Raw genomic sequence first — 10,348 nt, forward strand, 5'->3', positions numbered from 1 at the left:
TGATTCCCAATGATGAATGTGTGGGACTAAGGATTTTTTTTTTTTTTTTTTTTTTAGTTGGAGTCACTCTGCTGCCCAGGCTGGAGTGCAGTGGCACAATCTCGGTTCACTGCAACCTCCAGCTCCTGGGTTCAGGCGATTCTCCTGCCTCAGCCTCCTGAGTAGCTAGGACTACAGGCTTGTGCCACCACACCCAGCTAATTTTTGTATTTTTAGTAGAGATGGGGTTTCATCATGTTGGCCAGGATAGTCTTGATGTCTTGACCTCATGATCTACCTGCCTCGGCCTTCCAAAGTGCTGGGATTACAGGCATGAGCCACTACTCCTGGCTGGATTTTTTAATTTGGGTTCAGACTGGCAAGGAGCACGATGCTGTTGTGCATAGGATAACTCTTGATAAAAATGCAAGGTAGCGAAAGATTTGCCACATGGACAAATGGTGGAATAAGCAACTGGAAAGGTATGAGAAGAAGAAATATTTTCAGCCTAATGTTTGCCTCGAAAAGCCTTTTTGGAGATGGTTGCCTATGTGCATTGGAATTTAAGGGCTTCTATAACTTGTAGAAGTATATTATACCTAACGAAGATTGTCTGTTAGAATTGAAATGTACTTGAGGGTGCAAACAAGAAATTTTCACCTACTCAAATGGATTGTCATTTCCAAATCCTTTGGTAGATGCCCGTCTGCCTATGTACAGGGACAGAAGAAATAAATTGCAATTCTGTTATGTACAGGAGGTGAAAATGCTACAGATGATATTGTAATGCCAAAGGTTGTTGCCTTAGACACACCAAAGAATTTGTGTGGTGGCTGCTTGCGGAGAGTGATGGAGACGTGGACCAAGATTAAAAAAAAAAAAAGCTGTAGGCTTTATTGAGCAGAGTAACAGTATAAAGCTTCCACAGCGTGGAAGGGGTCCTGAGTGGGTAGCCAGAGTTTGATTATGCAGTTGCCTTTTAAACTCTTTAAGGTGGGAATTACGTCCAGAGGGAAGATGTTAACCAAGCAAGAAAAAAACCAGTAAATTATTTTGTGACATGCCTTAGATTTTGAGGAAAACCAAAATTGCAACTTAGGTTTTATCTACCTTTTGACCTTGCAGCAGCATGGTAAAGGAGACAGGATTTTACAGGACTTTACAAAGTATGTTCACAAGGAATTGGAATTGGGAGCATAGATAAGGACCACTGGTCACAGAAAAACAGGTCTTTAACATTCCTTTTAGTTTTAGGGGAGGGGGAAGGGAGAGAGGGAGAGAGGACACAGGGAAGCTTACAGCAAAATTTTTGCTGTCTATAGCTTTCTTGGGGAAGAAAACACATGCAAAAATCTTGCTGTTAAGAATATAACTTTAATATTATTCATCCAGGACAAAAGTAAGTCCTGAAGCAGGAAATAAGTGAGTTTCACAGCTTTCTGAGCCTTTACTTGACGCAGGAATGCCAGCTGGCCCCTCCTTTCAACAGGGAGGGTAACATGCTAGCAGTAATGCAGTGGTTTCAACCAGGGGCACTTGTGTGCCCCAGAGGATATTTGGCAGTATCTGAAAGACACATTTATTTCACAACTAGGGGAGAACAGAGAGGGTTGGGGGAAGCATCCTGTTGGGGTTTTGTGAGTAGAAGCCAGGGATGTTGCTAAGCATCTTACAATGCACAGAACAGCTCCCCTCCCCACCAATAAAGACTCATTTAGTCCCCATGTCAATAGTGTTGAGGCTGAGAAACACTATCAACAAAATCTGAGGTCCCTAAGTCAAATATCACTCATGATAAAAATGAGTTCCCCTGTTATTTTTTCACACAGGCGAAATTGGTTAAGAAGTAGGTAAAGCAGTTGCAGTGCTTGGTACATATTAAGCACTCAATTATTATTTTAATATAAGAAAAATTGTGTATTTATTTTCTGTATCTAGTGAAACATGAACCTAGTAATGAAGTAGATACACAGAACACAGCCTGCTGCCTCTAGCCTTCTCTGATATGAATACTATATATTGCACTCTTAGAGAGACAGGTTATTAAGCTCATTCTTTTGCAAATTTCTAATATTAGTTATGGATTTGTAAGGCATTAAATCTACTTAGGGACTCCTGATTCTCCAACCCTGAGCTTTTCATGGGCATTATTAATGGTGTTGTTGGTTATCTTTAAATCCTCCAGTGTGTCTCACACTTCATATTTAAAGACGGATGCTAAATTTGAATCTTCTCTGTACCCTGTAAAACCTTCCAATCATTTAAAAACTGGTGGATGGCCCTGCTTAATTTCTTCTCTGGTTGAAATGGCATGAGGGCCTTTTAATTAAACAGAATAAACATACATGTTTGATTTAATGTGTCTTTCTTAGATACTTGCTCAACCAGCCCCTGCTCACATGGTGTCTACAGTCCAATTAGGAAGGGGAACAATCCTCTGATCTCTGATTTACAAAACTTCTCTGTGATTATTTACTCATTGGCTCAGTTTACAAATATTGACTATCTAGTGTGTGCCAAGCGTGAGAGTGGATGGTAGGGACATAGCCAGGAGGCATTTAGACTTCTTCCTGCCTGCAGAATGTTTCCAGTGTAGCAGGGAAGATTAAACACAAAATAACCCAAACTGCAGTTGCTTGTATCATCAGTACTGAGAAAGAAATGCACAGTGATAATAAAAGGAGAACTTATTCCTCCCATACAAGGAACTTCCTCCCATGCAAGGAATCCCTAGATAAGTCACATGGAAGCTGGGGATGGGGGCTGAAGATTGGCCTCTCCAAATTATCTCTGTCCTTCTTTCATTCTTCAGCCTTTCCTCACCTCACTCCAATATGAGGTCCATTGTTATGATTGCAGTTTTTAAAGATGGGAAAGTTCACCTTTTATTACATTCATCTAGCTGTTTAAACAGAAGCATGCAGTACTTGTACAGATATTTTTGCTCATGCTTCCGATTTCTGTATCACGGATGTGGAATTGGAGCCTAGATTTGTCAGCCAAAGAGTTAATGATGTTGAATGCAATGAAGAATTGTCTCAAAATAGCTTTTCCAAGAAAGGGATAGTGTTTCTAAAACAAACAAACAAACAAAAAAAACACACGACAAAATGTGTTGGAGCACACATCATCTTGAGTCTAGTCTTAAAAAGCCTGTTTACAAGATAAGCCAGTTTTCTCTTTGTTACCAAGTTTGTGTTTAAGGACTTAAGATTTGGGAGAGACTCTCTACTTAGCTGTGGGTCCTGCCCAGCACAGTGTTCACAGTCTGCAAGGAAGGTAGCAGGGTACTGCATGGGATTTTATGTTAATGATGTTCAGGGGATGGTAATTCTCACCTGGGAAGGAGATGATCCATTAGTAACACTCTCAGTCTGTGTCTTAGGCCAGTGTGAAGCCATCACAGATCTTTAACTGCAAAATAATAATTTTATGATGAGATAAGGGGTAGTTTTATTTCTGGCCTCTTTTAAAAGAGAGAAGAGGCAAAGTCTATGCTAAGGACTATATCATTTTTTTCTAGACTTTCTATAGAATTCATGTCAAGTGAATGTCATAAATTATAAATGAAATGTGTGTCACATAAAATAATTCTGTGGTAATAATGATAGAACTAAGCTGAATAATCTGAATATACCAAATACATGTCTGTGTGTGTGTGCATGTGTGTGTTTTCATGTAAACATTTCCCCCATCATAGAAAGTGAATGACCATCAAACACATCCTTGAATTCTAGGATTAGTCCCATGGACTTTAGTCTCCCAAGGAGATAAAAGTGAAGAGACTTAAAGCAAACAAACAAAAAAACTATTTTGCCCTATTTATTTGAAAAAATAAGAGTAAGAGAATCAATCACTCAATCACCTTCCAAAGCTTAGGAATCTAACTGAATAACAAAAGTACCAACTCAATGTAGATAAGGAGAATTGAGTGGATCAGGAGAGAGAGAGAGGTGATTGACTATGATTAGTAATGTCATGTGTGAAGGAAGTACCCCCAGACTGCCAGTCACATAGCTTCCCACATTTAATGTGTCTTCTTTAAAAAATAGCATGCTTCTGAAAATACTTCACATTCTACTAGTGTGCAGCTGCAAGAACATAGAGTTAATGATTGCATGGAACAACTATGTAGGATGTTGTAAGAAAAAATACTTCTCTTGGAGCTAAGAGGAAAATGTAGTTGACAGTGACTTCTTTCTCATTACTGAATCTCTACTCTCTCACACCAGCTTCCTTTTTTTGCTGTAATAGAGTAGTATTCAAGCAGCAGAAATTTTTGTCTCCCTTTCTCTCAGCAGTGGCTGGTACAGTCTGGAGACATCTTTGGATCTCATAACTGAGGGGAGTTATACATGTTACTGGCATATAGTGGGTAGAGGCTAGAGATAAGCTGAATATCTTGCAATGCACAGGACAGGCCCCTACACTAAGAATCATCTGTCCCCAAATGTCAATAGTGCAGAGACTGAGAAATCCTGATTTAATGCCATTCATGACATATAACGGAACCCATTATCCTGACTGTCTAGTTTGCATTTGTGTGTACTCCTTTACCAAGGCTGAATTAAGTAATTTAGTGAATATTTATTCACTCAGAGAGCCATGGGGGAGAATTGCAAAGGAAAATTAAGGGATTATAAATACTTTATGGGAAGTCAAGGTGAATACACATGAAAACAGACCAAAAAAAAATCCACTTCAAAATGTTGTTGATTTTCTCTGGACCCTAATTATGTATATTATATCAATATTTGCAGTGCATAGCTTTTGTCTGTTTTTGCAAACTGACAACTCAGATAATATAGTGTCTCAGCAAATTGTTACCACAATAATGTCATGTACACTCTGAAGCTCAACAGTTTAACACAACAGTGTATATTCTCACTGGTTTTTCTGTTGGCTGAAACAAACAAGCTCCAAGCTGCCTGTTGGGCTGTGTCTGCTACAAATGCATTTATTCTGGGGCTCAGGCAGAAAGGGAGGTAGCACATACTAGAGAAAGTGCTTCTTGTAGTAATGACAAAAGTACAACGGGCCAGGCTAAACATGCAAGTATAATGTTTCTGCTTCTCTTACATCTGATAGCATCCCATTAGCTAAGCCAAATCACATGGTCAAGCCCCAAATCAACGCTGAACAAGTATACTGTGGTTTCTATAAAGCCAGTGCAAATTACATGGCCTCATTCAATACCAGTGGGTCAGAGAAAGGATTGCATTTTGTTGTTGTTGTTGTTGTTGTTGTTTTGAAACAGAGTCTTGCTCTGTCAGCTAGTCTGGAGCACAGTGACATGATCTTGTCTCATTGCAACCTCTTCCTCCTGGGTTCAAGGGATTCTCCTGTCTCAGCCTCTGGAGTAGGTGGGATTACAGGCACATGCCACCACGCCCAGCTATTTTTTGTATTTTTAGTAGAGATGAGGTTTCACCATGTGAGCTAGGCTGGTCTCGAACTCCTGACATCTGGACTGCCTCAACCTCCCAGAGTGCTGGGATTATAGACATGAGCCACCACTCCCAGCCATCTTTTTTTTAACTAAAATGTTCATTTTAATATTTCCATTTCAAATCTAACATTACAAGATTTTTTCTTATTTGTTTTTTAAGATTGGTTATTTATAATTGTGGCAAAATACACATAACATAACATTTACCATCTTAGCCTTTTTTTAAGTGGCATTAAGTATGTTCACACTGTTGTGCAGCCATCACCACTCTTTATCTCTAGAGTTATTTTCATCTTGCAAAACTGAAACTCAGTATCTATTAAACAATTATTTCCAATTCCCCGGGATTGAGTACTTATTTTTTAAAAATAATAATCTACCACCCATTTTTAATCAGAACAAGGCTTATTTTTAAAGACATAATTGGCATATAGCATGCATTTATACTTTCCAGCCCAACCTATGCCTAAGGTGTATTCTATCCAGGATAGAGACATATCTTCAGGACCCAAGGTAGAAGCACCACAGAAGTCTGTTTTACTCAGATAAAAAAGCCTATTGAGAAGCAATTCCTTCCAAGTTCAGGCTGAGAAGCAGTATGGGCCACAGCCAGGTAGCCTGATTAGAGAAATCTATTGACATTCAGACACATGTCCATTGATCACTCAACAGGGAAGTCTACCTAATTCTCAGGTTCCAAGGGGGAAAAAAGTGAAGTGCGCTTTTACTGAAATCCACAAGAAATATTAGGACTTAGGGCATCAACAGCATATAGCTGGAAGCTTCAGGAACAACCAGTGCAGGAGCCAGCCATCTGGCAGCAGTAGGGGCTTTAGCAGTATTAAACCCCAAAGTCCATGAGACAGAGCTCCGTATCCTCATCATCAGCCACCAGTGGTGGGACTCAGTCTGGGTGGGCAGTGGTTGTGAGGTTTTTAGACAGGACCTGTTTCTATCAGCAGGAACAGGAGGCATCAGTACAGAGCCCTGGGAAATGACAGGCATTATTCAGTAGCTAAGGGAACTGCTTGAGTAATTAGAAAAGCACTGAAGTCTCCACCATGTGGAATGCTGAAAAGCCCATTAGAAATACTGGGTTCCAGGGACAATCTGAGAGAGAAGAGCCATAAGGAGTCCTGGGTGCTAGTCTAGAAACCACAGCTTGCTGTGAGTATGACTACGGCAGTTCACTGAATCTCTCTGGGTCTTTGTTTTCCCTTCTGAAAGTAAGAGAATTGAGATACATTATTTGCCTGGTCTTTTCTAACTGATATTGTCTTACCTGAATATTATACGAATGTTGTTATATTATATCAAGCCAGCCTTTACATTCATGCCAGGTTTTTTTGGTACAAAGTCTGTATTCTGTATTTAATAAATAAATTAATTAGAGAGTCTCACTCTGTCACCAGGCTGGAGAACAGTGGCATCATTACAGCCCTCTGCAGCCTGGAACTCCTGGGCTCAAGCAGTTCTCCTGTGTTAGCCTCTCAAGTAACTGGGACCACAGGCGTGCATTACCATGCCCAAATAATTTTTATTTTTATTTTTTTTAGAGACAAGATCTTACATATTTCCCAGTCTGGACTCAACCTCCTGAGCTTCAGCAGTCGTCCCTCCTCAGCCTCCCAAAACACTGGGATTATAGGTGCGAGCCCCCATGACCAGCCAATCTCTCTGAGTCTTAGTTTCCCCATCTGAAAATAAAAGAATTGGGATGCGGGATTTGCAAGGCATTTTTTAACTGAAATTATACTATCTGCATATTGCGGTACACTCTGAAGCCAGTGTTTAAGTTCATTCCAGCTTCTCACTGTGCAAGTCCACAGTCTTAAACCATGCTTTTAAAAAAAGAGGTTATTTCTCATTTTTTTTCAAAGCGTAAATATTAGCCTAACCATTAAGATGGACAAAGTCTTTGACATGAAGACATTGTGTGTCTGGATTATTTCATTCAGTCTTACATGAGGAATTCAGTAAGAAGTTACTTTGCACCAGCTTTGTCTGTATTTAGCATTTAAGCACATTAAACTAAATTGGGGGCCTTTAGACTCAATGGCAAAAATAGTTTCACATAATAATAGCAGAGTGCTTTTTACATTCATAATCTCTGTTTGAACATGTTAAATTCAAGATACCAGGTAGATGTCCGTATGGAGAACCTAATTCATTGTTTGGACATTCAGTCTCTCTGGATGAAAAACTGTGGTGTTTCTTAGCATTCATCTGGTATTTAATCTCACCAAGACAGCATGTGTATTTCATAAAGGTAAGGAGGAGATCACAAAAGCAGAAAGTGTCTTGAGGATTACAATATTTAGGAAAAGCACAAAGTGTCTTGAGACTTATGAACTGGACAATGGACAATGGACACTAAGAAGTGGCACCAGGTCAGGAAATACGTATAGTCATTGTTTGATTGTTTCTTTGAGTACTTGCACCAAGTTAGCCTACACATTTGTTTAAATTATCAAACTAATGGTCATATAACTGGAGGAAACTCTGTGTGTCTGTCTTCTCTTTAAAAATTGGAAGCTACTACAAGATAACATTTTTCAGGATGGGTGCAAGCTCTGGGTTGGCAAAGTCCCCTCCCCATATCAATTGCTAAACCCAGGCCATTTCCCATCTCCCATCCAGCCTTTGTAATTATGTGGGGTTGTGATCCTGATTCTGAGGTCCATGAATGAGGAAGAACCAGCAAATAGAGACTCTGCAGAAGGAGGGACACAATAGGAACCTCAGGGAGCGTGTTCAAAGAGGAGTGCATACCTGAGCGAGGGAACAGCTCACTCTGACAGGTGTTGCTGGAAAGCCAGGGAAGAGATTCTGCCATACTGTGTGCACTGGCCTTGATGCCAAGTGTCCTCAGTGACTCTGGGGGTGCTGTCCACATGCACTAAGTCTGGTGTGAGTGCAAGAGCAGATGCAGAGTAAGGTCAAGCTCACATGCCACTTTACATGCTGAAGGGCGATCAGTGCTCCACATATGCAGCAATGAGGGTCCAGTGTCAGGAGAGAACAAATAGGTACACTAAAAGCCCAGACTCCACCAGTACACATGCATGTAAGATATCTGTACTATGCCCCCTAAATCTGCACACATTTAAAAAATTAAAAGTAAGTAAAATTAAGCTGAGCACAGTGGCTCATACCTATAATTCTTGTCCTTTGAGAGGCCAAGGCAGGAGGATCACTTGAGCCCAGGAGTTTGAGACCAGCTTGGGTGACATAGCAAGACCCTATCTCCTCAATAATAATTGAAAATAAATTAGCCAAGCCCAGTGTTGCTCACCATCATACCGGATACTCAGGAGGATGATGTGGGAGGAGCACTTGAGCCCAAAAGCTCGAGACCAGCTTGGGCAACATAGTAAGGTCCTTCACTCTGAAACATAATAAAAAAAAAATTACCCAGGCATGGCAGTGTGCAACTGTAATTCTAGCTTGCTCAGGAGGCTAAAGTGGGAGAATCACTTGAGCCCACGAGTTGGAGGCTGCAGTGAGTTATAATCACATGATTGCACTCCATCCTGGGCAACAGAGCCAGAACCCTGTCTCAATTATTTTTTAAAAGAAAATAAATAAAAATAAAATTACTTAATAAAATGAAAAAAATGTTCAATTTCTTTCACTTTACAGTTAAGAAAACTAAGATTCAGAGAGCTGATATGATTAACAGCTACCCACCCCACCACCACCTAAACTGAATGTCATGAAATTTTTTCCTGGGCTAGTGAGAAAAATAAAGAATATATGTATATTTTTTCCCCCTGGGAAGGTGAGAAACAGAAAGAGAAAGTAATGAGTTCTGTCTCCTGATGTCAGGGTCAGTGCAGCAGAGACTTGGCTCTGGAAGTTTGTTTTTGTTTTTTGATTTTTGATTTTTTTTTTTTGAGAGGGAGTCTCTCTCTGTCACCCCAGTTGGAGTGCAGTGGCATGATCTCAACTTACTGCAGCATTTGCCTCCTGGGTTCAAGCGATTCTCCTGCCTCGGCCTCTCAAGTAGCTGGGGTTAGAGGCACATGCCACCATGGCTGGCTAATTTTTGTATTTTTTGTAAAAACGGGACTTCTCCATGATGGGCAGTCTCATTCCAAACTCCTGACTTCAAGTGATCTGTCTGCCTCAGCCTCCCAAAGTCCTAGGATTATAGGTGTGAGCCACCACAATCAGCCAAGAAGTTTTTGAGAGCAAGAACCTGGCTCAGGACTCTGAACCAGGAGGTGGGAGAGATACTGCCTACCACAGCTTATGGGGAGAAGACTAGAAAGACATTGATATTGAGTAAGATCTAGGGCTACCACACCACACACCTACCTACCACCTTCAAAGAAACCAAGCCAGGCCTTTCTCTGGCTGGGAAACATGTTGAGTAACCTACTCATATTTGCTCAACATAAACTCTGGTTCTGAATAGAGAACCTGTTGCAGGTGGGTCAGCAAAACCGCAGGAATCAGAAGAGAGGCAAACCACAAAATGAAGTAGAAAGCCAGCAACCCCCTCAACAAGAGGGACTCTGACTCAAGGGGAGACAGGCTATGGAACACACACATAGACCTCCACACAAAAGAGGCATTGTGTGTGTGTTCAAGCTGCCATTCTCCCTGAAGCTTCCTCCACCTGTTATTCTTGGAAGGAATGAAATGCAGTGAGGTGAGAGAGTGTTGAGATGGCAGACATGGACAATGGATGAATTCTCTTCCCTCTGTATATTTTCCAGCACAAAGAGCTGCCCCAGGCTGGTGACCTTGTGCACTTTGAGTTTTGAAAGGTTTCCATGTTTCCCTTAAAAAGCTACTAAGCCAGGACAGGCATCACAACTTAGTCCTTTGAGAGGCTGAGACATAAGGATCTTTTGAGCCCAGGAGTTCAAGACCAGTTTGGGTAATATAGCAAGACCTCATCTCCACAAAAAA

The sequence above is a fragment of the Homo sapiens genome, chromosome Y (genome assembly GCF_000001405.40).
Source record: "Homo sapiens chromosome Y, GRCh38.p14 Primary Assembly".
In the NCBI taxonomy this organism is placed as follows: Eukaryota; Metazoa; Chordata; class Mammalia; order Primates; family Hominidae; genus Homo; species Homo sapiens.